The 27,096-nt window shown below is 62.0% G+C and overlaps 1 annotated feature.

The window, feature by feature from the left end:
* Positions 6,783-7,419: an enhancer, noted in NCBI's record as "H3K27ac-H3K4me1 hESC enhancer chr12:132982751-132983387 (GRCh37/hg19 assembly coordinates)". NCBI's record gives its function as "activates a minimal SCP1, AML or CMV promoter by ChIP-STARR-seq in naive H9 embryonic stem cells {active_cell/tissue: H9 hESC(naive)}" and the evidence as "EXISTENCE:reporter gene assay evidence [ECO:0000049][PMID:30033119]".

Below are 27,096 nucleotides of genomic sequence, written 5' to 3'. Positions count from 1 at the left end.
ATATCCCAGGCCCCACTGACATCCCAGGCCCCACTGACATCCCAGGCCCCCACTGACATCCCAGGCCCCACTGACATCCCAGGCCCCCACTGACACCCCAGGCCCCACTGACACCCCAGGCCCCACTGACATCCCAGGCCCCACTGACATCCCAGGCCCCCACTGACACCCCCAGACCCCCACTGACACCTCAGATCCCACTGACATCCCAGGCCCCACTGACACCCCAGGCCCCACTGACACCCCAGGCCCCCACTGACACCCCAGACCCCACTGACATCCCAGGCCCCACTGACACCCCAGGCCCCACTGACACCCCAGACCCCACTGACATCCCAGGCCCCCACTGACATCCCAGACCCCACTGACATCCCAGACCCCACTGACACCCCAGGCCCCACTGACACCCCAGGCCCCACTGACATCCCAGGCCCCCACTGACATCCCAGGCCCCACTGACATCCCAGGCCCCCACTGACACCCCAGGCCCCACTGACACCCCAGGCCCCACTGACATCCCAGGCCCCACTGACATCCCAGGCCCCCACTGACACCCCCAGACCCCCACTGACACCTCAGATCCCACTGACATCCTAGGCCCCACTGACACCCCAGGCCCCACTGACACCCCAGGCCCCCACTGACACCCCAGACCCCACTGACATCCCAGGCCCCACTGACACCCCAGGCCCCACTGACACCCCAGACCCCACTGACATCCCAGGCCCCCACTGACATCCCAGACCCCACTGACATCCCAGACCCCACTGACACCCCAGATCCCACTGACACCCCAGGCCCCACTGACACCCCAGACCCCACTGACACCCCAGACCCCACTGACATCCCAGACCCCACTGACACCCCAGACCCCACTGACACCCCAGATCCCACTGACACCCCAGACCCCACTGACACCCCAGATCCCACTGACACCTCAGACCCCACTGACACCCCAGATCCCACTGACACCCCAGACCCCACTGACACCCCAGACCCCACTGACATCCCAGGCCCCCACTGACATCCCAGACCCCACTGACACCCCAGGCCCCACTGACACCCCAGGCCCCACTGACATCCCAGGCCCCACTGACACCCCAGATCCCACTGACACCCCAGGCCCCACTGACACCCCAGACCCCACTGACACCCCAGACCCCACTGACACCCCAGATCCCACTGACACCTCAGACCCCACTGACACCCCAGATCCCACTGACACCTCAGACCCCACTGACACCCCAGATCCCACTGACACCCCAGACCCCACTGACATCCCAGACCCCACTGACACCCCAGACCCCACTGACACCCCAGGCCCCACTGACATCCCAGGCCCCCACTGACACCCCAGACCCCAGTCGGACACCCATGCACCCCTTGACTGACACCCTCAGACCCCCAGCCAGACACCCCCAGACCCTGTGGCCCACATCCCAGACCCCCTGGCCCCCAGACTCCCCAGCAGGAAACCTCAGACCCCCTGGCCGACACCGCAGACCCCCTTGCCCACACCCCTAGCCTTCTTGGCTGTCACCCCCAGACCCTGTGACCCCCGGCTGGACTCCCCCAGATCCCATAGCCAATACCCCAGACCCTCTGGTCAGTGGAACTGACTGGCCAAGCCCTGTCCGAGGAGGCAGTTCCTCCCAAGCTGCTCCTTTCCACAGTCAGGGCCGGCCAGGGCAGAGCCTGGCGTCCACATCCCTCCTCCACTCACCACACAGGCCGTGGGGCAGCACTTCAGTTTTGTTTGTGATTAAATGAAGCTGCCTTTTGAAAAATGCTGGCTCTTCACCGTCTAGGCAGCAAATTATCTTAAAGTGGATGTTCTTTGTTCTGGGAAGTCACTTGATTTGCTGAGTGTGCGTGTGCCTGTGTGTGCGCACCTGCATGTGTGTGTGTGAGCCTGTGTGTGTGTGAGCCTGTGTGTGTGTGTGGGTGTGTGGGCCTGTGTGTGTGCGCATGTGTGTGTGCATGTGTGTGTGTGGGCCTGTGTGTGTGTGAGTGCCTGTGTGTGTGTCTGTGTGTGCCTATGTGTGTGGGGGCCTGTGTGTGTGTGTGGGCCTGTGTGTGCACGTGTGTGTGTGTGGGGGGGGGCTGTGTGTGTGTGCGTGTGTGTGTGCATGTGTGTGTGTGTGGGCCTGTGTGTGTGTGCGCGTGTGTGTGTGTGGGCCTGTGTGTGTGCATGTGTGTGTGTGGGTGCCCGTGTGTGTGTGGGGGGCTGTGTGTGCACGTGTGCACGGGTGCGTGTGGGCCTGTGTTGTGTGTGTGTGTGGGTGCCCGTGTATGTGTGGGGGGGAGGTGTGTGTGTGCACATGTGCACGGGTGCATGTGGGCCTGTGTTGTGTGTGTGTGGGGTTCTAGACCCTGGTTACGTGCTAGAACCACCCGACAGCTTTGAGAAGTACAAAGCCCTGCACCGCCACCCCAGAGGTGCTCCCTGAACTGGTCACAGGGGCCTGGATCAGCCCTTCTAGACCCCCCAGGGGGTCCACCCTGCAGCCCTGGGAGGACGACAGGCCCAGGGAGGAGTGGCCTGTACTGCCCGGGGGTGGGAGGAAGCAGGATGCCTTGGGGGTGACCCAAGGCCCCCCTGCGGACCGAGGGCCAGGCCAGGTCCCTCTAAGGCTGGGGTGTGGTGTGGCCGCCTCCTCCCAGGCTCCTCGGTGGACAAGAGTTCGGTTCCCATCCCTGCCTCCGCGGCTCTAGAGCTCGATCCCACGCTCTAGGTGGTGAGAAATCCCAACTCAGTCATTGCTGGGGTTTCCTTTCTCTACGGCTTGAATCACATCCCCCAAAAAGGTCCTTTGCCATCCTCACCCCCGTTCCTCCACACGTGGCTTCACGGGGACAGAGCTGCTGCCGAAGTAACTGGCTCCGGAGTGGAGCGTAGACCAGTGTGACCCTGTCCTGACATCAGGATTTGGACAGATGTGCTCACAGGGAGGATGCTGGGGGAAGGCGAAGGTGTTGACCAGCCTGGGAGCGGCAGACACGGGCCCTGGACGATTCTCCCTCAGGGCCTCAAAGCACCCGGCCCTGCAGAGGCCCCACCCTCGGCTCCCAGCTCCAGGTCTGCAGGATTAGTCCGTGTTAAGGCGGCTTCTGAGGGGCTGTGATGGCGGCCCCGGGACGCACGTGGCTGGGCTCCTGTCGCCCTGAGCTGGGGAGGGGATAGGGTGAGACTCTGGGGCGTCCATCAAGGAGGGTGAGGGGGGCTTGGCAGTGTCTCCCGCCTCCGTGCTGTCCTGGGCTCGGTGTGCGGGCCCCAAAGCCTCATTTTCTGCACTACACACGCATCCTCTCTGGGTGCCTCCCCGAGCCCCCATGTACCACCCGCCACGTGCACGCAGCTGAGCATCCCCTCTGGTTGACGGTTCCTTGCCCATCCTCTCCTCTCACCCTGGTGTGGATGGTGAGCTCCGGGGGTTCAGGGGTCACCACGGAGGTGGGGTGTGGGCGTCCCCTTGGTGGCCGGGCTTAGTTTGGCGCCTGCCTCGGCGCCCGCGTCTCCCACACACGTGGCCGGACCTTGTTCGTGACACCACACAGATGTCCGTGGCCTTCCCGGCTCCGCTCCCTGTTTTGGCCAATCCGTGTGAGGCACCAGAGCCTCAGGTGATTCCAGCAGAGGCAGGTGTGTGGCGGTTACGGAGGCCACCCGGCAGCCAGATGTTCTGCCGTCACCCACAGGACGGTGGCAGCTCTGGGTTCCATCCCTGAGCCGGGCAGGTGGAGCAATGGAGCTGCGCCGTCCTCCTCTCTCGGGGCAGCGCTGCTGGGACTTGGCCACACTCCTGCCAGGGACCCCGGGCTCCCTCCATCTGACTGACCTTTGCCCTCCAGGGCCTGGAAAGCCAGGGTGGAGATGGCACCGCGGCTCTCTGCGTTCTGCTGCTGAGGGGGTTTGGGGGCACAGGTCCCCACTGACTCGGACGCCCAAATCCCAGGGAGAAATCGATCCTGTGTCCAGGACCCAGCAGGAGGAGCGGATCAGGGCTGGCCCCACAGCTCCCATCCCCCGGGCCTGCCCCTACCTCTCCCGCCCAGAAGCCCCCCACAGGCTGCAGCAAAGGCAGGGCCTGCTCCCGGCCCCTCCCAAATGTCCCCCAGCCTGCTGGCCTTTGGTATCAGGAAGGATTTGTGGGGTGGCTGCAGTGACGCCTGTGAGGGAGGTTCAGGCTTAGAGACGTGAGGGGCTGGAGGGGGCAGGCAGGGCTCGGGACCAGAGGCAGGGACATGGGATGCAGGGCTGGGCAGGACAGGTTCTGAGCGAGAGGCAGGGAGGGCGAGGGCGAGTGCAGCCTGGAAGCCCTCCCTGCGTCAGGGGTGCGGCCCGTCTGGGGACGGTGTGGACGGCAGAGAAACCGGCGGTGCTTGGGCCTGCGCTGAGCTCACTGAGGGGCCTCTGTGGGGCTCCTGCCTGGCCCGGCCACCCCCAGGGCTGGTGGCTCAGCAGAGAACGGGGCCGGCTGACTGGACGGGGCTCCATGTGGGGTGGGGTTGAGTGTGTCATAAAACAACAGGTCCCGTGACACGACTTGTCATCAGCAGCAGGTGAGCTCTGAGCAGTGTTCTGAACTCACTTGGCCCCCAGGACACTTGTGAGGGGCGTGCTATCATGGCCCACGTCACAGGTGAGGAAACTGAGGCACACAGGCTCCAAGCCCCTCAGCCGTTACTCGCTAGACTGTGGGCAGCCCCTCGGGGCTCCGGGTGGTGCTGGCCCTGGGGTCCATGTTCTGGCCCGAACCGGGGTCTGAGCCTCCCAGGCCCTGCCTGCTCCCCTGGGGCCGTGTGGACATTTGGCCCTGGTGGTCCTCCCTGAATGTTCTGCCTCTTCCCACGCTGGATGCAGATGGAATTTCACTTCCTGTGGGGCCTTGTGACAGGTCTGGCTGAGTGGACGTGACCAGCGTCTCTCAGCAGTGGTCATGTGTGGCCCTCTGAGGACCTTTGTCCTGTCTGTCCTCTGGCAGGGTCCTGGGGTGGTGACAACGTGACACTGAGCTTGCTCTGCCATTTTGTGGGCCGGTTGTTCTGTGCCTCTGGATGAGGGGCTGTTTGTCACTCGGTGGGTCCCAGCTGACTGACGCATGGCTTTCCTGGAAGCAAACATCTGGGCAGAGACCAGGTGAGGGGGCTTGACCCCCTGGTACCTCTACCTGGGGATTTGGACCATTTCTTACAGCTGGTTCTATTCCCAACCCCTTGCTCCGCTGGTTTCCCCTCATTACAAAGGCAGCTGGGCTCTGTGCTGGGACCCCCACACAGGGGTCTCTGGTCTCCGGGCACGGAGGCCGATGGGGACTTGGGGCTGGGCTGTCTTCCCGGCCCCGCCACTATCTTTACTCGAGCCACAGAGAGTATGTTCTTGTCTTAACTTGTGAGGCTGCCCCTGGCCTGGCTCCAACCCAAATGTTCCTACTGGGGACATGTGGCCTCCCTGTGCCCCCACAGAGCCTCCGTCATGTGGCTGGTGGGGAGGGGCCGGGGCCGGGGTCCCATGCCTGTCCTATCTGGCACCACAGCTCTCTCTTTCCCCTCCTGCTGTTCTATTAGGGATCCTGATGGGTTAGGAGGCTTTGGTTACAAATAGCAGAAAAAAAAATCCCTCAAACTGGCTCCAGTGCCAAAAAGGCATTTATTGGCTCGTGGGATACAAAGAGCTGGAACTGGCCCCACTGCACCCACATCCATGGGAGGCTGTGAAACCTGCCCCACCCCCAGGCGGCCTCCCTTCGTTGACATCGTCCTCAGGAAACATCCTTGGCCAAATGGCTGCAATAGACACAGGCCCTGAGCCTCCCGCTTGGCTCGCGGCCCTCACAGCACCGGACTCCCTTCCGGGAGCTCAGGAGACTCTGCCGAGCCTCTGGGGCTGATGGCGGAGTAACTGCCCGACCGCCAACGCCACGAGGAGACTTCACCCAGCAGGAGAGCCCTTCGCATCACGGCCCCGCCCTCACGGGAGGGGTGCAGGCACCTCGGGGGCGCTGGGGCCATCTCAGGGCTTGCCCGCCACACGCGGCTTGTGCTGGAGGAACCACCCCCTGTATGACGTGCGCGGTCGAAGGGGTCGAGCCACCGCCCACACCAAGCATCAGTGGAACGGGTGCTGGGGCCGCACAGGTCCCCGCTGTTGGATCATCAGCCACGGGAATGAAGGCTACGACCCGACTGAGCGCACGACGGCTCCTGGGGGGGCCTGTGGGGCAGGTGACGGCTCCCGGGGGGGCCTTTGGGGCGGGCGATGGCTCCTGGGGCTGCCTGTGGGGCGGACGACGGCTCCCGGGCATCCAGGTGCATTTTGGACCCTGCTGGGCATCGCGCAGGAGCCAGGGAGTGCGTGCCCTGGGGAGGTGGGGGGAGGTAAGAGGAGGGAGGTGGGAGACGGCCCCCCCCACTGCCGATGGATCCTGGAGACGGTGACGCTGTGCGGGGCTGCGTGGCTGCAGCTGTGGGCCTGGGGCTGAGTGGAGGCAGGGACATGACACCGGATGGCCCTCGCAGTGGACGTGGCTTCTCTTCTGGTGCTCCTGTGGCCTGGTGACCTGCTCTGCAGGGCTGCCTCGCACAGGTGAGCAGGCCGGACACGGCCGTCACGCGGGAGGTATGGTTTGCGCGACGCCGAGGGTTTGGCCCCAGAGCTGGGCAGTGGACAACCCGTGCTGCAGTGGCCGCTGCCCCGCGTCTGTGTCATGTCTCATTCCCATTTAACAAAGAGCAGGGTCTCTGAGTGTCGGGCGTTCTCGGCGGAGCTGAAGGTGCCCGAGAAAGGGGTGGCTGCTGTTTCTTCTCGTCCCCCAGGGAGCTGCAGATGGCAAGGTGCTCCTGAGCTGCGCCTGCTGGGAATGTCGAGGGCGGCGTCCCCTCTGGGAATGTTGAGGGCGGCGTCCTGGCTGGGAAAACGTCGAGGGCGGTGTCTGCACTGGGAACGTCGACGGCGGCGTCTGTGCTGGGGATGTCGAGGGCGGCGTCCCCCAGCTCAAGGCGGCTCAGCTATGAAACCAACCCAGGAAAGCCCGGCTCATTGCTGTGGGCCATCTCTTACCCCCAGGGCTGGAGACCCCGTCTGCTGTGGTGCTTGGAGCTTGGGGGAGGGAGATTTTAGGCCCCTTGGCCCCTCTATTCGGGACGATCAGGGGGCCTGTGTTTTCTTCTCCCCAGGCAGGGGGGCCTTTGTCTCCACACGGTGGGTCATTCTGCCCACCTGCCCCATGGTCCTGTTCACGGGCCTCTCGTCTCACTCTTCTTGGGGTCTGTGATTCAGGCAGGATGTGGCTGGACTTCCCTGGGGGACAGAGCCTTGGGTCAGGCCCACAGGGCTGGCAGTGGGGGAACGGGCCGGGGTCAGGGTGGCCCGCAGGTCATCCCCTCTGGGGCGCAGGTCATTGCCGCATTCTCGGCTTTGTCTTCTGAACAGAAAAGGGCGTCACCTTCCACAGGGCTGGACGGCGGCTTCCTCAGCTCCGGTGCAGGCATCGGGGGCTCTGTGGGAGAGGTGCCAGACAAAAGGGTCCTCCAGGGGCCAGGACTGGGCAGGAGCGAGGCCCCAGCCCAGGGCCCTGCGGGTTGGGTAGGTGCTGCCTTAGACACGCCTGGAGCCCCATGTTTTCCCAGCACACCCCTGCCACGTGGGGTGGGAGCCCCAGGCCCCGAGGCTGCCTCTGCTGTCCCGAGAGCCTAAACCTGCCTGTCAGAAACAGCCCATCTGTATGTGCTCAGCCCTCACTAGGCACAGGCCGGGCCTCGGGCACCTGAGCTGCACCGTGGCAGAGAGGAGGCAGCCACTCCCCTTCCTGCCCAAACGAGGTCCAGCGCACCTGGCATTTTTGCCGTCTGCTTTAAAAAACTTATTTATTTTAAAAAATGTGCTGCAATACACGTAACATAAAATCGACCCCGGGGCCATTTCAAGTGCACAGCTCCGTGGCGTGAAGCACATTCCCTCCGTCGCGGTGCCCAGAACCTTCCCATCTTCCCAGGCAGAAACCTGGTCCCCACGAAACACGGCGCCCCATCTCCAGCCGTTGGCTTCCCTTCTGCTTTCTGTCTCTGAGAGTTTGACTGCAGCTCCACATGTGCCCGCCCCAGAAGGGAGAGGGGAGGAAGTGGAGTTTCTGGGAACCCAGGAGAGCCAGGGCTGGGGACAAAGGGCCTCCAGTGGACAGGAGCTGCGGCAGGGATACAGCCCCAAGGCATGGGGCAGGGAAGCACCCACCTCTCCATCCTGCCGGTGACCCCCACGGGCTGGACCCAAGGAGAAGTCGGAGAGCGAGGACCCCGGCTGCTGCAATCAGGGAGCAGCTCCCCAGGCCAGACCAGGGCAGCTGAGGGAGGGCCCTCGGCGGGGACAGCTGGGCCGCCTGCTTCCCAGGACCTCCCAGTACAGCCTCTGTCTCTGTGCACACACCCGGGGGACCCGGCGGTGCTCCACAGGCAGCCCCTCCTGAGAAGGCCAGGGACCCGAGTCCTCCACGGCCATCGCGGCATCATGGCCTGGCTGTTGGTGCCCCTGCAGCTGCTGCCATCTGCTCTTGGCCCTGCTGGCTCTGAACGCCCCCGCTCCCGCCTCTGCACGCCCCCCCCTGCCGGCTCTGCAAGCCCCACCTCCCGGCTCTGCACGACCCCCTTCCCAGCTCTGGACGCCCCCCCCGCCGGCTCTGCACGCCCCCTCGTTAGCACAGAGCCAGGGAAGGAGACACAGGAGCGTGTTTATCAAGCAGCATTTTACCTGCAGAGCTGCTGGGAGCAGGAGGTCCTCAGAGGGGGCTGAGGGTGGGGGGCTCCTGCCTGCAGTCTGGGCAAGGGACCCTGTAGCCTCGTGGGTCCTCAGGATTCTGGGTCCACCTTGGCCTCTGGCCTAGCCCTGCTGGGGCCTGGTGGTGAGGGTGGGGGTGGCTCCGTGGTCCTGGGCCACTGATTTGCTCCTTACTGGAGCAGAGTGGGGTTGCTAGGGCTCCAGGGCAGGGCGAGTGGTCCCGTTTGGACGCAGGAGCCTCAGAACAGCAGAAGCTCTTGGGGGACCCCGGGGCCTATGGACACAGCCTTGTACCCTGCAGAGACAGCCCCTCAGGATCCACCAGGGAGGAACCCACAGACCCTAGTGTTTCCCCAGACAGTAGACGTGGCTCAGCCTGTCCATGTCCTGACCCGCAGCCAACCCAGGTGGCTGACCCTGGCTGGGGAGATGCCCTCCCACCTATGCTGTGACTGTGGCACTGGCCACAGGCTTCTGGGTCAGATTCAGCCCCTGTGGCACCTGCAGAAGGTCAGAGGTTGGGAGGCGAGAGGTCGGGGTCTCCGTCCCCCAATGTCATTGGCCTGGCTGTGTCCCTGCATAGGCGGCCTCTCCTCCCACACCTGCAGGCTGGGGGATGGCGGTTCCTGCCGCTCTGGGTCCCCTCCGTGGGAAGAGCCTCCGCCTCACTCCGTGGTCCTCACTGGGCCCTTAGCCCTGCTTGGCGGATTTCCGCATCTTCACTGGGCCCTGACGGGCACCAAAGCACAAGACCCCCACGAGAGTGGCGGCTGCAGTTCCCGCCGTCAGCGCCCGGTCTCCAGGTGACAGCACTGGTCCTGTCGTGGGCTGGGAGCTTCCCCAGGCCCCCTCGCCTCCCCAGGCTCCCTCACTTCCCCATGCCCCCCTCGCCTCCCCAGGCCCCTCACCTCCCCAAGTTGTGCCCTCCCTCCCTGGCTCCTGGGCGAGGTCCTGGGGTTCGAATGCATCCACCCATTCTCTCAGGGAACGAGGCTCAACCCTCCATCCATCCCCACCAGGCAGCCGCTGGCAACTCAAGGGCAAGGCCGTTCTGTGGGACCCAGAGTCGTTCCGCACAGGGGTCCGTCGGGGCCCGGGACTGAGCAGGGCGGGAAGTCGGCCTGGCCCTGGTGGCATCAGACACTGTCCTGCCTCCCTGATATGGTGACACCGGTTTTAAACATGTCAGCCAACCCGATCGATTTCTAAGACGAAGTTTTCTTTTCTTGTACTTTGGAGCAAGGGCTTTTGTTCTTTGGTCTAAAACATTTTCAAGGTCCTGGGAAAGCTTTGTTTTCTGAGCCCCGAAGACCACAGCTCCGCACCAGGGCCAGGCGCCCTCAACACGAGGGTTCTGTTGCCTTTAAATGCTGTTTGTTTACCCTGATGGCTCTATGAGGCGGGCCTCCTACTTGGGTCCCTGAGATCCTGGAATCCAGCAGGGTCCCTGGCCGCCTCCTGGAACACTTGCCTCACCCCACAGGGCTCCTGGGCCCCACGGCAGCTCCAGCGGCTGCCTGGGGTCCCCCTGGGCAAACCATGCTACCCCTCCGGCTGCACCTCAGGACCTCCCGCCCCCTCTCTCCTTCCCAGAGTCCAGCAGCTGGTCCCACAGCATCACTGTGAGTGCAGGGCCGGAGCCCTCACCCCGCGCCTCCCACCACCTGCCCCTCCGCAGACTCCACACCGTGCACCCGGCCCTGCGGCTCCTGGCCTTCCTTGACCTCGCAGATGCCCTGCTCTCTGGTCTGAGGGCTGTGATTCCTCCCAGACGCCACCTCCTTCCAGGGAGAATTCAGTTTCTTGTCCATGGAGAAGCTGCTCCTGGGAAGGAGGACGCCAGGGGTCCCTTCATCTCCTCCTCGGCCGCCTGGCAGGGCCTCCTGCGCGTCCCTGCTCCCTCCTGCCTCCACGGCTGTGATGCAGACGCCTCCCACGTTTACCAAGTGTGCAGAACAGACTGGTGGTCTTTTTTTTAAAATTAACTACATTTTACTGATCCCTGGGTGAAAGATAAAACACATAAGCAAATCTCCTGTCACCTCCCTGAAATGCAAAGCCGGCCGATGCGTGCTCAGCATGGACGTCCTTTCGGCCCCCGCAGTGGCCCCGGCTCCTCACTGCCCACCCCCCACAAGTTGGGGAGGTGGAGGCAGGGGCTTGGGTTGCAGCCTGTGAGGCCACATCAGGCCTTCTCCAGCCCCCTGAGGCCACAGCTGCCCAGCCAGACAGGAAAATCTGTCTGTGACTTTGGTCCTCACCTGGGCAGCTGGGGATGGGACCCTCACTGGACATCAGCTCTCCTCAGAGGTCTGCCCCCTCCCACAGTTGGCAGAGCCCTCCATACACCTTTCATCTCCCTGGCCACATATAAGGTCCATGAGAACACAGGTTTTCTGCCTGGGAGGGAGCAGTTGTCCAGGATGGGTTATTAGATGAATGGGTGGGTGGATAAGTGGGTGGGTGGTAGGTGTATAGGTGAATGCCTAGGTGGGTTGATGGATGGGTGGATGGTGGATGAATGGGTGGGTGGGTGGGTGAATGGATGGGTGTGTAGACAGGTGGATGGGTGTGTGGATGGATAGATGGATGGATGGGTGGGTGGATGAATGGGTGAGTGGATAGGTGGGTGGGTAGGTGTATGGGTGAATGGCTAGATGGATAAATGGGTGGATGGATGGTGGATGATGGGCGTGTGGATGGATAGATGGATGGGTGGGTGGGTGGATGAATGGGTGGATGGGGGGATGGTTGGATAGGTGAATGCCTAGATGGGTTGATGGATGGGTGGAGGGTGGATGAGTGGATGTGTGTTTGGATGGGTGGGTAGGTGGGTGGATGAATGGATCGGTTGGTGGATGAATGGGTGGGTGGGTGGGTGAATGGATTGGTTGGTGGATCAATGGGTGGATGGGTGGGTTATTGGATGAATGGGTGGGTGGATAGATGGATGGATGGGTGTGTGGATGAATGGATTGGTTGGTGGATGAATGGGTGGATGGGTGGGTTATTGGATGAATGGGTGGGTGGGTGGGTTATTGGATGAATGGGTGGGTGGGTGGGTTATTGGATGAATGGGTGGGTGGGTGGATAGATGGATGGATGGGTGGGTGGGTGAATGGATTGGTTGGTGGATGAATGGGCGGATGGGTGGCTTATTGGATGGATGGGTGGGTGGGTTATTGGGTGGATAGGTGAATGCCTAGATGGGTTGATGAATGGGTGGATGGTGGATGAGTGGATGTGTGTTTGGATGGGTGGGTGGATGAATGGATCGGTTGGTGGATGAATGGGTGGGTGGGTGAATGGATTGGCTGGTGGATGAATGGGTGGATGGGTGGGTTATTGGATGGATGGGTGGGTGGGTTATTGGATGGATGGGTGGGTGGGTTATTGGATGAATGGGTGGGTGGGTGGATGGGTGGGTGGGTGGATAGGTGAATGCCTAGATAGGTTGATGGATGGGTGGATGGTGATGAGTGGATGTGTGTTTGGATGGGTGGGTGAATGTGTGAGTAGGCAGGTGTATGAGTGGATTGGGACCAGTTTGGCTTGGACAGCCCAGCCTCCTCCTGTAGGGACGGCCCCTCCTCTGGTGGTTATTCGACGTCTTCTCCACCAGTTCGTTCATTCACTTGCTTATTCATTCTTCAAGAGGTGATTGAGTGGCAGCTTCTGGATTTTCAAGATAATGCAACACCCCACCACTCAGGTTCTCCTGCAGGAGGTCCCTCCTGAGAAGGAAGGGTCTGTGTCCCCTGTGAAACTGGGGAGATTTGGGATTTCGGTGGGAGTGAAACTAGACCTTCCAGGTGATGCAGCTTCTGCTTGGGGCTCCTAGAATGCAGCTGCCATTCTGGGATGAAGCCCAAGCAGCCCATGGAGAGGCCCTGGAGAGAAAAGGAGGCCCCGGCCCCCAGCAGGGAGAGAGCCAGGGCCAGCCCTGTTTACAGCAGGGGCCCCAGCAGGGAGACAGCCAGCGCCAGCCCTGTTTACAGCGGGGGTCCCAGCAGGGAGAGAGCCAGGGACAGCCCTGTTTACAGCGGGGGCCCCAGCAGGGAGAGAGCCAGGGACAGCCCTGTTTACAGCGGGGGCCCCAGCAGGGAGAGAGCCAGGGACAGCCCTGTTTACAGCGGGGGCCCCAGCAGGGAGAGAGCCAGGGACAGCCCTGTTTACTGCGGGGGTCCCAGCAGGGAGAGAGCCAGGGCCAGCCCTGTTTACAGCGGCCCCACCCCCACCGGGGCAGAGAGGCCCCTCCCGGCCACGCCCTGCCCAGACTGCAGATCTGTGGACACAGCACAGTGGTCCTCTGGGCTCTACGCTTTGGGTTCTCTGCTACACAGCAGGCTCTGGGCTTCCCACTGCACACCCGACCCATATGTGCCGGGAGCGGGTAGCGGAAAAGATGTCAGGAGCCCGCCGGGGTCTGGGAGAGGCTCAGGGGCCTCTGTGAAGCGTGACTTTGGCAGGGATCCGTAGGTCAGGCAGGGGCTGGCTTGGCTTCCGGGAAGCACCACACGGAGGCCGCGGAACGGCTTGTGCGAGGCCCGAGGCAGGAACACCCAGAGGCCGGGATGCAGCCAGGGCCAGAGGGCCGAGAAGAGAGGGGGATGGGCTTCCTCGCACCCGCCACTGAGCGAAGACCTCCAGGGCTAATTTGCTTTTCCGCTGCCTGGCGTGTGGCACAGCTGGCACTGGGAACCCCTGCTGAGAGCAGCCGTCGCTGGATTGTTAAACTCTGCAATTCTGTCCGTGTGTCTTCATGTTCTCATTCAGGCAAAGAGGGGTTTGGGGTGGGCTCCAACCCTCCCGTCCTGCTCTTTCCTCCAGCGATTTGGATGTGCTTGTCCAGGTTGCACTGGGGCGGGATGGGGGGCGCACGTCTCCCTCCCGCTGGGCTCCCTCGCACCCGGGCGTGGGCAGGCGGCAGTCAGAATATTCAGCGGTCAGGTGGCAGCTCCTCCTGACTCCCAGGCGTCCGGGAGCCCGCGGGTCCGCAGATGGTTCTGAGTGAGCCCGGGTTCCTGGAGACTCAGGCGTTGGAGGGGCTGGAGTCCTGGGGAACGGGCTTCCCGGCCTCTCCGTGGGGTGCCTGGGCGTCACCTCAGAGGGCACTGTGTTCCAGGAGGCCCGGGTAGACGCCACATCGCCCTCCAGACCTGATGTCACTCCCACTGAAGCCCCAAATCCTGTGGGCTTCTCAGGGAGGGGTGAGACCCCATGTCTCCCTGCAGGGAGGGCCTCTTGCAAAAGAACATGAGTGGTGGGGGTGCGTGGGGGCGGGAGCCGGGTGAGGCAGAAGTTCCTTATTTGGTTCCCAGCCTGCCACTCATTGGATGAGCCTCTGGAAAGTTCCCTGGATGCTGCATCCATGTTTCCCCTGATCAGGGTGTGAAGCACCAGGAAGGCCCTGGTGCAGGAGCCAAGCTCGCCGGAGCTGGTGCTGCTGAGCACATGCACTTGGCATCTGCTGGGGGGTGCTCCTCACCCTCCTCCTCACGGGGTCCGGGGGCTGGGCCTGGGGTCTGAGCCTGCGTCGTCCCCTTAGGAGGGCAGCTGGGATGTGGAGGGACGGGATGCGCTCAGCGGGTCAGGGCGGGGCGGGTCTGGCCTGACTTGGCTCCAAGAAGTTGGCGGCAGCTAAGTGTGGGCAGGGGCTGGGCCGGCACGCCTGCTGCCCCCTGACAGACCAGCGCCATACACTGTGAGAAAGAAGCATGAAGACAGCAGAACATCTGAAACCTTCGTGCCGACTCACATCCCCTGTGTTAACGTTTAGCGCATGTTTCTGGAGCGTCTGCTGGGTCCAGGGAACCCTCCAAGCACTTCTCGTGGAGGATCCCTCCCATCCCTGTAGCCGCCTCTGAGGCAGGTCTAGACCCGTCCCCATGGAGGCACCAAGAGGCCAGCAGCCTCACCCCCGGATCACACATCAGTGAGGGCTGGAGCCGGGACCAGGTGGAGGCGGGCGGCCCCACATCTGTGCCATGGATCACAGACTGGGCAGCCTCTGGAGCATTCTACGTGGCCTGGGTGGCTGCGCTGCCGTGGCAGGTGTAGCTGTACAGCAGCAGCGCCGACCGTGGTGGCTGCCAGGGGAGGCAGAACTGCCTGGTGTTCTGAGGTGGTGCTCAAGAACTCAGGTGTTTCCCAACAGCTGTTTCTGCCTTAAGTGGCAAAGTCACAGCTGGGAAACCTCAGTGCACAACACCGGGAGGCCCTGGAGGGACACGGCTGGAGCATGGACGCAGGCCACGGGGACACCGGTGGATGACCCACGCCAGGGTCAAAGGCCACGGGAATACAGGTGAATGACCCACGCCAGGGTCAAAGGCCACGGGAATACAGGTGGATGACCCACGCCAGGGTCAAAGGCCATGGGGACACAGGTGGACGACTCACACCAGGGTCAGAGACCACAGGGACACCAGTGGATGACCCACACCAGGGTGAGAGGCCATGGGGACACTGGTGGATGACCCACGCCGGGGTCAGAGGCCACAGAGAGAGTGCAGGGAAAACAGGAGCAAGAAGAGAAAGTCCCTGGCTGTAAGTGGAGCCCCCTCCCCTGCAGCCCTCAGCCTGGAGCCCTGGCAGCCAGTCACACCTGCCCCAGGCTGAGAAAGGGGGTTCCCATGAGAAACTGAGGGGCCAGGGCAAAGGGCCAAGACTTGCGTCCAGCAGGGTGGGTGCCGCCCTTGCTTGGTGGGTCCCTCTTGCCCACCGTGTAGACAAACGCCCGGAGACACAGGTGAAAGCCCACGAGGGGCCCTGGGGAGGGCGGCTGTGAAGACAAACGCCTGGAGACGCAGGTGAAAATCACCCAGAGACGCAGGTGAAAGCCCAGGAGGGTCCCCGGGGAGGGCGGCTGTGTAGACAAAAGCCCAGAGACGCAGGTGAAAGCCCAGGAGGGGCCCCGGGGAGGGCGGCCGTGTAGACAAATGCTCAGAGATGCAGGTGAAAATCACCCAGAGACGCAGGTGAAAGCCCAGGAGGGGCCCCGGGGAGGGCAGCTGTGTAGACAATCACTCAGAGACACAGGTGAAAGCCCAGGAGGGGCCCCGGGGAGGGCGGCCGTGTAGACAAATGCCCGGAGACACAGGTGAAAGGCCAGGAGGGGCCCCGGGGAGGGTGGCCGTGTAGACAAAAGCCCGGAGACGCAAGTGAAAGCCCAGGAGGGGCCCCGGGGAGGGTGGCCGCGTAGACAAAAGCCTGGAGATGCAGGTGAAAGCCCAGGAGGGGCCCTGGGGAGGGCGGCTGTGTAGACAATCAGAGACGCAGGTGAAAGCCCAGGAGGGGGCCCGGGGAGGGTGGCCGCGTAGACAAATGCCCAGAGATGCAGGTGAAAGCCCAGGAGGGGCCCCGGGGAGGGTGGCCGCGTAGACAAAAGCCCGGAGACCCAGGTGAAAGCCCAGGAGGGGCCCCAGGGAGGGCGGCTGTGTAGACAATCACTCAGAGATGCAGGTGAAAGGCCAGGAGGGGCTCCGGGGAGGGTGGCCGAGTAGACAAACGCCCAGAGACGCAGGTGAAAGCCCAGGAGGGGCCCCGGGGAGGGCGGCTGCGTAGACAAATGCCCGGAGACGCAGGTGAAAGCCCAGGAGGGGCCCCGGGGAGGGCGGCCATGTAGACAAATGCCCGGAGACACAGGTGAAAGGCCAGGAGGGGGCCCGGGGAGGGCGGCCGAGTAGACAAATGCCCGGAGACACAGGTGAAAGGCCAGGGGGGCCAGGGGAGGGTGGCCACAGCTGCTTGTTCACTGTGGTCTCACTTCTAAAACTTAGGGACACAGGTTAATTTCATAAAAATGTAAACGACAAGAAGAAGACCAGCTTTTAAAAGCACCAAATCTGTTTCTATTCAGGAAATGAATTCGTGAATTGTTTTATTTCTGCCTTTGCCTCTTACGGAGACTTCTCCTTCACACCTTGCTGGCCAAGCGAGGTGCTTGCGGGGAAGAGGATCGAGTGGGGCAGGCAGAGGTTTTCCTCTTCTCTAGATTTGGGGGTATGGGGATGGTTGCGGTGTAGCAGGGCGAGCCGCGGACAAAACCCCTCAGACACCGGGTTAAGGAAGGATTTGGCTTTATTCGGCCGGGAGCATCGGCAGACCCGTGTCTCAAGAACTGAGCTCTCCGAAGACAGATTCCCTGGCCCTTTTTAAGGGCTTACAAATCTAAGGGGTTCCACGTGAAAGGGTCGCGGTAGGTTGAGAGCACATGTGGTTAGAGTGGGGGGATAATCTTTTAACCTCAGGCCTCTGGTCATCAGTGGCACCGGCTGATCTTGCCACTGACTTCATTCCTGTTATTTTTCAGCTTTTACTTCCTCCTTCTCTTCAGAGACAGGAGACAATAAGAAAAATGGCCTCTCTCCTCAGTAGGGCTGTCCCAAGCACATGGGAGTGGCTGCAGGAGAAGGCCTTGCTGCTGGAGGGGCTGGGTCCCTGGAGATCCAGGGTCCGCGGAGGGGTGGGGACGCAAAGACCCCCGTGAGTCTCCTGCTGCCTCACGTTCCGCGGAGCTGCTCACTCGCTTGTTTCCTGAAGATGTTTGGTCAGTGTCTTGCTGCAACCTCCCGGTCTCGGCAGTGCCGCGGGGGCCGTCGCCTGCTCTGGGGAGTGAGACGGAAGGAGAATGTCCCACAGACGAGGCAGGAGATGGGGGCCGGGGTCCTCGGGCTTCTGACAGGCTGCGGGGGATTTGCCGGGTCCTCCCAGCAGGTGGGGTGGGCACCCAGGCCGCCTCATTTGGACGTTAAGGAAACGTGGGTGACTCCAGAGCTGTGAAGGACCGGGGCCCAAGGTCCAGGTTACAGTGTGTTTCTCTCCCACACACGCTTACCCAGGGCTGGTTTCAGTGTGATGCCGAGGCAGCATGGCTGCGCACTTCAGGTCTGAGCCCCCGGCGCTTCCCTGCCTTCACGTTCAGCTGGTGGTGGAGGCACTGGGCCCTTCTCAGGCTTCCTCTGCTCGGTGGAGGGCCACGCCACCCCTGCCGTGCCACTCCTGTTTCTGTGAACATGTGCATTTTGAATTACGCATATTCAAAGTGCCTGCACGTTTTGGGGGAGCGTGCCACTGCGTCACTGGACATGGGTGCGCTGGCCCCGGGGACAGGTGGTAGGAAACCAGCCAGAGCTGGCTGCGGGATCAAGCATCAGGCAGATTAGAGAGGAGCGCATCCTGCTCATTGGTGCTCATTTTTTTCACACATGGAACCACAGAACCCTCAAAGCCAGGACGATGCGGGTCCCAGGGCGCTGGCGTCCCTGAGATGCCGTATCTGTGGAACATGCAGGAGTGGGCCGATCGGGGTCTCCCTGCACACCCAGCCTTTACTTGGATGTCTCTTGTTTTGCCTCCTGGCATCCTTGGACCCTTCCTTTGGTAACAGGGCCCTGCGTCTTCCTCCAGGAACCTCCCACCCCGCAGGCTGCATCTGGCCCGAGAGGTGCTGGCTCCACCCCTCGCTCTGTAGGGCCAACGACCTGGACTGGCCAGTGAGCAGGTTTCTTCCCCCAGCTGCGTCGGTGGGTCAGAGTGAGCAGGTGACCCACGGGGCCGGGGGGGGCACAGGCTTCCCTGGCACTGGCTGGGGCTCTCCCAGAAAGCATGAGACAAGGGCCTAAGTGTTTGTAGCTTACTGGGAGGCGATCCCAGGAAGCACCAGGGGTGTCTGTCTGTGCATGTTTGAGTTCACATGTATGTAGGTGTATGTGTGTATATGTGCATGTTTGTGTATGCATGCATGTGTACCTGCATACATGCACAGGTGCATTTGTTCACATACATGCACACATGTGTATATGTATGTTCACAATCCATGCACGTCTGTATGTCTATGTGTGACTTCATGTGTGTGCATATGTACGTGCTCACATGTATCTATGCATACACATGCAGCCCATGTACGAGCATGTGCATTTGCAAGTGTGTATGTATGTGTGCACATATGTGTACATGTATGTGTTCATGTCTGGACGTGTATAGCTCTGTATCTGTGCACGTGTGTATGCGGGGCATGTGTGTATATGTGTGTATACAAGCATGTGTGTGGCATGTGTTTACATGTGTGTGGCATGTGTTTACATGTGTCCAGATGTGTTTGCATGTACATGTGCTTGCATGTGTATTCGTGTGTGCATATATGTGTATGTGTGCATATATGTGTGTGTACATATGCATATGGGTTTGCTGGAATGTCTGTGTGTCTGTGTGTGCATGTGTGTAGAAGTGTGTTTGGAAGTGCATGTGTGCATATATGTGTGTGTATGTACATGTGCATATGGGTTTGCTGGCGTGTCTGTGTGTCTGTGTGTGTAGAACGCCGTAAGGATGGAGTTCAGGATTCACTGCAGGCTGTGCACAGCTAAGCGGCTCCCCGGTTGCAACGCACTAGTCAGAGCTGGTCAGCATCACCTCCAGTACAGGTCTCTGTGGGAGGCCAGTGACGGCCTCTGAAGACCTCGGGTCTTAATCCATGGAGCCTGTGGCTGTCCCCGGGTGACTCAGCACCCACTGTCTCAGAGTGACTCAGCACCCACTGTCTCCGGGGTGACTCGGTGTCTACTGTCCCGGGTGACTCGGCGCCCACTGTCCCCGGGGTGACTCGGCGCCCACTGTCCCCGGGTGACTCGGCGCCCAGTGTCCCCGGGGTGACTCGGCGCCCACTGTCCCCGGGTGACTCGGCGCCCACTGTCCCAGGTGACTCAGCACCCGTTCTCTCTTGGATGACTGACTCGGCCTCCCCAGGGTGACTCGGCTTTCTCCTTCACTCTCCCCCAGTGATGCAGGACAGGGGAGCCCCAAACTGGGGCTGAGCCCGGGAGGCTTCTTGGCTTCACTCAGGAATGAATTCAAGAGCCAGCTGGTGGTGGGAGAAGCAGGTTTACAGAGGTGCAGGGTTGCAGCCCCCCCATAGGCAGGGCGTCGAGGGCAGCCGCACAGCACAGTTCTGCAGCCTCATTTATACCCACGCTTAATTTCGTGCAGATGAAGGGGCAGGTTAGGCAGACATTTCCAGAAAAAGGTGGTAACTCCTGGGTCGTGGGGTTGTTGCTATGGAAAGGTGTGGTCGCCCAACGGTAAACGGACCTGGCCCTGGTGGCCTGTCTCATGCGGAGGTGCTTTCGCCTCTCCTTGTTTAGTCAGTCCTCAGTCTGGTCTGGAGGCTCGGTCCCTGCCTCTGGCTCTGAGTCCCGCCTCCCATCTCTCCAGGGTGGCTCCCTGGTGAGTCAGCGCCCGTCCACCCTGAGGATGACCGTCCCCGTCCGTTTGCATGACGCCATCTCACAGTCTCTGTGTCTCACTGTCACTGAGAACTGAGCCCCTTTCCCTTCCCCATCCGGTGTTTTGAGGGGCCTCATGTTCTGCTCTTGAGCTGGCCAGAGCCTTGCCTCTTCCCGAACACAAGTTCTGACCGATGACCCTGGGCTGGAGCCACTTCCAGGAGGGTTTGGCTGCAACCTCTGCCGCCGTCTTGCCCCATGGGGGCAGCTTGTTTGAAACTGGAACTGGGAGAGCAGAGCAGGGCTGGGGAGGTGAGCATCCTCCCAGGTACACCAGGCTCTGTGTCCAGCACTCCCTGAGCCCACCAGCGTCTGGACTTTTCACTGACCTAAATCAACATATTTCCTTTTCTACTTAAGCCAGTCTAGGTTAGCTGCTGCCATCGCAGTGAAGATGGTCCAGTCGGATACGCCGCCTGAACCTCAGCACCACACATGGTTCCTGGAGCCCAAGTCAGTGGGATGTTTGTCATTTGGGTCCCCGGCACCTTCCTACAGGTAAGAGCATCTTCAGTGAGGGTCGTAGACCAGGCTGGAGCCGGTAGGTCCCCCGGGATACCTGCTGCTGGGCGCCATCTGCCGGCTCCACGGTCGTCCGACGCTGAGGCACTTTCTGGGCCCTGTGGCCCCCACGCTCCAGGGTCCACGCGGAGGATCTGAACTCAGAAACTTGAGGACTTCACCTTGCTACAAAGGCATCACAGCCCTGACATCACGCAGCTTTGATAATCCACCAGGTGTTTAATCACAGGGACAGAGCACACCTCAAAGTGGTTTACGCACACACACAAAGAGGAAATTCGCTGACAGGAGTTGAGATGAGAGTGACAGGTTATGGGCTCCAGGGGCGGCGCAGTCCAGGCATTCCCACGATGTCCTGTGGGCTGTGCCAGAACCCTGGGAAGAGCAACGTGGTCGGAGGGTCCCGGGGGAGAGTGGGTGGCGGAGGGTCCCCGGGGAGAGCAGGGTGGCCGGAGGGTCCGGGGGGAGAGTGGGGTGGTTGGAGGGTCCCGGGGGAGAGTGGGGTGGCGGAGGGTCCCCGGGGAGAACGGGGTGGCCGGAGGGTCCCGGGGGAGAGCGGGGTGGTGGAGGGTCCCCGGGGAGAACGGGGTGGCCGGAGGGTCCCGGGGGAGAGCGGGGTGGCGGAGGGTCCCCGGGGAGAACGGGGTGGCCGGAGGGTCCCGGGGGAGAGCGGGGTGGTGGAGGGTCCCCGGGGAGAACGGGGTGGCCGGAGGGTCCCGGGGGAGAGCGGGGTGGCGGAGGGTCCCCGGGGAGAACGGGGTGGCCGGAGGGTCCCGGGGGAGAGCGGGGTGGCGGAGGGTCCCTGGGGAGAACGGGGTGGCCGGAGGGTCCCGGGGGAGAGCGGGGTGGCGGAGGGTCCCCGGGGAGAACGGGGTGGCCGGAGGGTCCCGGGGGAGAGCGGGGTGGCGGAGGGTCCCTGGGGAGAGCGGGGTGGCCGGAGGGTCCCTGGGGAGAGCGGGGTGGTTGGAGGGTCCCGGGGGAGAGTGGGGTGGCGGAGGGTCCCCAGGGAGAGCGGGGTGGCCGGAGGGTCCCGGGGGAGAGTGGGGTGGCCGGAGGGTCCCCGGGGAGAGTGGGTGGCGGAGGGTCCCGGGGGAGAGTGGGGTGGCAGAGGGTCTCCAGGGAGAACGGTGTGGCCGGATAGAGGATGCCTGGGCCCCAGAGCCTGGGAGACTTGGAGGAGTGGACTCGTCATGGTGGCCCTGGGCCCTCGGCCTCTGCTCTCGAGGGAAGGAGAGCAAACGCCTCTCTCGTGGAGGCAACAGTTCTTCCAGGTCTCTATCACCTGCAGCCACCCCCAGTGTTAGAAAGTGTGATGGCTGGGCCCGGTGAGGGGAGATGGTCCCATGAGGCGTCAAGAGCGGCGTTTCGTCTGGCCTGTTGGGCGCCTGTGTTCCAGTGGCGGTGTTTGGGGTCTGGTGAATGGATTGTGCTTATTTGCTGTCATCTCGGCTGCGTCTCGTCTGCTGGGTGCACGTGCTCAGATGGTGGAGCTTGACGGGCGCACGTGCTCGGATGGTGGAGCTTGACGGGCGCACGTGCTCGGATGGTGGAGCTTGACGGGCGCACGTGCTCGGGTGGCGGATCTTGGGGGTCTTTTGCTGTCACCTTGGCTGCAGCCACCTGCTCTCGCTGGACCCTCATCCTGGGCAGCGTCTGGCGTTCTGTTTCCACTCTGAATTTCCCTCTGTAACATTGAAATCGGTACCTCTTTCCTTTTTCTTCCCTCGAAAAGGGAGCTTCTTAGGATAATGTGTTTCACTCTGAAATAGCAAAAGGTAAGAATAGGCAAATAAATAATGATCCCAGCCATCTGAGCAAGCATTAAGGAGGATTTCTGAAAGCACATCCTGGTGTGGCTGCATCCCTGACCACGTCCGGCTGTGCTCGAGTGCGCCTGTCACACACAGCTTTGGAAGGCACCTATCACACATCTCCCATCTGCTTTTCTTCTCAGAGTGCAGGCGTGAATTTGCAGCCAGAGAAACCAGGAGCACCCGTGTTCCCATATGAGGTTCTTCATAAGCAGAGAGGGGTGACGGCTGTGTTAGGGCCTGGACAGGGGAGGGTCAGGAGTGGGGTCAGCTGAATAGGGGGCCTTGGGACCCCTTAACCAAAATTCTCTCCACACAGCCGTCCTCCTCTTTTTCAGTCTGTGGTTACTTAGAATTACTTTCACCTCAGTCAGGTGATGTGGCTCCTCCTGAAAGCAGAGGCAGCAGCCCTGGGCACGGGGAGGCTAGCCAGAGGCTGCAGGGTGGCCCTTGTTGGGTGGACAGGGCCTTGCCCACACCCGTGCCCTCGGCCGGCTGTGGATCTCCAGCCCTGCCCTTCTCTCCCTGGTGCCTCCTCCTGCTTTTGTGACAGTTTGCGGGGGCCTTGAATTGGGACACGCCTGTGAGCTGGGGCTGCGGCACCTCCTGCGTCCCCAGCTCCAGCTCAGCTCACGTGGTGCCTGGTACTCCGTGCAGTGCAGCTTACAGGGTGGTTAACCTGGCCCAGGTAAGGAGGCCCCGAGGCCACAGTCGCCACAGCGGCCACCAGGGGCCATTTGTGCCTCCCCAGAGCCCTTTTGTGCCAGGGAGCGTGGGGTCCTTGGTTTCAGAAGATGAACGCAGGCCATGTTCCAGGCCCCATCCGCACACCCGAGACAGGCAGCCCGTGATTGTCATTGACGCAGTACAAGTTCCAAGCATAATTTCAGAAGAGTGCATGGATGAGAGCTGAGGGGCAAGCCCACCTCCCGTCCCGGCCCTGCCCCGCCCACCCTGTCACCTGCCAGAGTGACACTTTCTGTCAGCCACTGCATTTCCCATCGGCCCATGGCTGTGCCCTCCTGCCTGCCACAGGCCTGAGACCCCCACTCCCAGCTAGACGGGGTTGGGGGAAAGGCCAAAACTTGGTGCAGGCACAGGAGTGCCAAGGCCTTTGTGCTAGGTGGCCCTGTGTGCAGAGGACGGGGCTGGGGTCGGCCTGGCTGGACTGAGCCCAGGTGGGGGGCGGGGGCGGGGGTGGGGGCAGGGCTCGGGGAGCTTTGGGCGAGATTGGAGCTGGGTCTGGAAGGGCGGAGGAGCCTGGGAAGTGGGGAGGAGCCTGGCGAACCGTTTCTGCAGGTGCTGGTGCTGTTCCTGCCCTGGGAGGCCCCTCTAAGGTGCTGGGAGGCCTGGGTTGTTGCTGGTGTCTGCAGCAGTTCTGAGGAGCAAGAACCTTCCCTGGGTCCCAGGACTCTCTCTCCTCTGCCTCAGCGTCCGGGTCCCCGGATCCAGCTGCATCCCTGGCGATCCCCTTCCCTCATCCTTGCCTTGAGGCCCAGGGCCCCGTGAGTACCAGACGCTGTTATCAGGGGCCTGAGCTGCAGGGAGGAGCTGCAGTCTATTAAGATTTAAAGAGATTTGATGTAACAAGACAAGCACGAGAAGGAATTTAATTTAGAGATAAAAAAGTAATCAAATCTCAACCTGTGGACAGAGGACAGTGCCTGGATGCCGATTGTTTTCATACAGCAACATGCAGCGCGCGTTAAGAGGCAATTAACGTGGCTGCTGGGTTTCAGAACCGCAGGGCGGAGCCCTCTCCGAGCCCTGAGCTGTGGCCACCTGGACACATGCAGAACTCGAAAATGATTTTCCCGCAGAAGCTGAGGGCGTGGGCTCAGCTCGGGGTGAGGGAGTGTCTCCTCATGGTCCTTTCCGTGAACTCAGATCTGCAGAAGCCTCGTTGCAGCCGTCGTGGGGCATCGACGCCGATGCCTCTGACCCGCTCGCAGTTCTGGAAAACGACTCTGTGGCTTTTTTCCAATGTTCTCTTGCATGCACCGACGCTTCCTTCCTGCCTTTGGTGTCTTCTCAGGAGCAGCTGTGGCCTGTCCTCCTGCACCCTTCCCAGTGGGGATGGGCCTGTGGGGGATGGATTTTAGGGGATGGACTTGTGGGGTCTGTAGGGTTGGGTCTGCATGGGATGGGTCTGTGGGGGATGGGCCTGTTGGGGATGGAGTTGTGGGGGATGGTTAGGGGATGGTCTGCAGGGTTGGGTCTGTAGGGTTGGATCTGTGGGGGTTTGTGCCACCCCTGCCCTGCATCTCGGCCTCTGTGTTTGTCCCCATCTAGTTCTTGTTCTGCTGGCCACACTGTGCATCTCACCTCACACAGAGGCCTCCAGCATTGTTTCTCTGCCGGGGAACCTGCAGCAGCCTCCTCTGCACTGGAAGTTGTGCAGGATTTGCAGGTCCATCCCTCAGCCTCCAGCCCTGATGCCGCCCCTGCCCCAGGGCCTTTGCACCTGCTCCTCCTTCTGCCCAGAACTCTTGCCCACAGCTGCTTCTTTATCCTCAAATGTGTTTCCTGCAGCAGCTGTCCTAGAACAGCACACACGGGGCCATTGGAATCCACAGAACCTTGCCTTCCCTCTATTCCGGAGGCCTGAGGGCTGAGGCCGAGGAGTGCTGGCTACGCTCTTGGAGGCGCTGAGCGAGAGTCCCCCCACTCCAGGCCTCTCTGCCTCTGACGCCGCCTGTGGCTCTGAGCCTGTGGTGGGACCTCCAGCCTCGGCTGCTGCCTACCATGGCCTCCCTCTCTGAGCTCACATCTCCCTCCCCTCTCTCTGAGCCCGCATCTCCCTCCCCTCTCTCTGAGCCCACATCTCCCTCTCTCTCTGAGCCCGCATCTCCCTCCCCTCTCTCTGAGCCCGCATCTCCCTCCCCTCTCTCTGAGCCCGCATCTCCATCCTCTCTTTCTGAGATCACATCTCCCTCCCCTCTCTGAGCCCCCATCTCCCTCCCGTCTCTCTGAGCCCGCATCTCCATCCTCTCTTTCTGAGCTCACATCTCCCTCCCCTCTCTCTGAGCCTGCATCTCCCTCCCCTCTCTGAGCCTGCATCTCCCTCCCCTCTCTCTGAGCCCGCATCTCCATCCTCTCTTTCTGAGCTCACATCTCGCTCCCCTCTCTGAGCCCCCATCTCCCTCCCCTCTCTCTGAGCCCGCATCTCCCTCCCCTCTCTCTGAGCTCGAATCTCCCTCCCCTCTCTCTGAGCCTGCATCTCCCTCCCCTCTCACTGAGCCCGCATCTCCCTTCCCTCTCTCTGAGCCCGCATCTCTCTCCCCTCTCTGAGCCCGCATCTCCCTCCCCTCTCTGAGCCCGCATCTCCCTCCCCTCTCTGAGCCCGCATCTCCCTCCCCTCTCTCTGAGCCCGCATCTCCCTCCCCTCTCTCTGAGCCCGCATCTCCCTCCCCTCTCTCTGAGCCCGCATCTCCCTCCCCTCTCTCTGAGCCCGCATCTCCCTCCCCTCTCTCTGAGCCCGCATCTCCCTCCCCTCTCTGAGCCCGCATCTCCCTCCCCTCTCTATGAGCCCGCATCTCCCTCCCCTCTCTGAGCCCGCATCTCCCTCCCCTCTCTCTGAGCCCGCATCTCCCTCCCCTTTCTCTCTTATGTATAGGATGCTTGTCATTGGATGTAGGATCCCTCTAAATCCGGGATGGTGTCATCTCTGGATCCCTAACCCAGTACATCTGCAATGACATCGATTTCCAAACAAGGCCCCATTGCAGGCCCTGGGGCGTGGGCGTGGGCGTGGTCAGTGGTTCTGGGGGCCTCCCTTCCGCCCACTCGCCCCACTCCTCATTCGGGGGAAGTGCAGTGGCCCGGACCGTCCCCGCCACCCACTCAAGCGACGCCTCCTCCTTTGCTACTCGTTTTCCTTTATGGAGCTCATTTCTTTCTGACATTAACACACCTCACCCACTGCCAGGTCAACTGGAGGGCAGGGACGCGGCGTATTTATCCTGAGCTGTGCCCTCGGTCCACATGCCTTCTGTCCACGGTGCCGTCTCAGGAAGCCTGTTGAGTGGGCAAGCGAGTTTCCCTGAGCTGAGAGTTTGCACATGGGCGGTGCGTGGGCCAGAGCCCTCTCCCCATCCCAGGAGGACGTGCTGGTTCCAGACCCCAGCTGTGACGGCCTCTCCACAGGGATTTTCACCCCGGATCACGGCCACCCCCTTCCCTAGGACCTGGCCTGTGCTTTTCTCCCGCTCTGAGAGGGCCTGGCGAGCCCCTTGCCCCATGAGGGGTGGGAGGTGCGAGCGTCTTGTGGCAGAATTTCTAGGCCCTATGTCCTGGCGACTAACCACGTCCTTCGAGATCATTCCGAGACATTGGTGTGTGCTGGGGTGCGGGTGGCTGAGAAGGGAGGGCCGTGGGGAACCTCTTCGTCTTCCTTGCCCTCAGAAACACAATCTCCCGTCCAGAGCGAGCAGCTCCTGGTGGCTGGGCAGTGCCTGTCTCTGGCGTTCTAGCCCAGGAGGGGGGCCCCTGTGCGGCAGGCCAGGCTCCCTGACCCAGACCCCTGTCTTCCCCACGCCCTCCCCTGCAGTGCAGGGCTCCACACAGGCGACTCTCTCTCCTCGCACTGAGGCACTGAGGCGCCGAGGCCGGAGGGAGGGTGACAGCCTAGGCCCGAAGGGAGCCAGTTGCCCGAGGAGGGAAAAGCTGCTGAGGTTTTGGGGTGACGGGCGGGGGTACAGGGCGTGAG

This window comes from Homo sapiens, chromosome 12, assembly GCF_000001405.40.
Source record: "Homo sapiens chromosome 12, GRCh38.p14 Primary Assembly".
In the NCBI taxonomy this organism is placed as follows: domain Eukaryota; kingdom Metazoa; phylum Chordata; class Mammalia; order Primates; family Hominidae; genus Homo; species Homo sapiens.
This window is presented reverse-complemented; position numbering and strand designations above follow the sequence as displayed.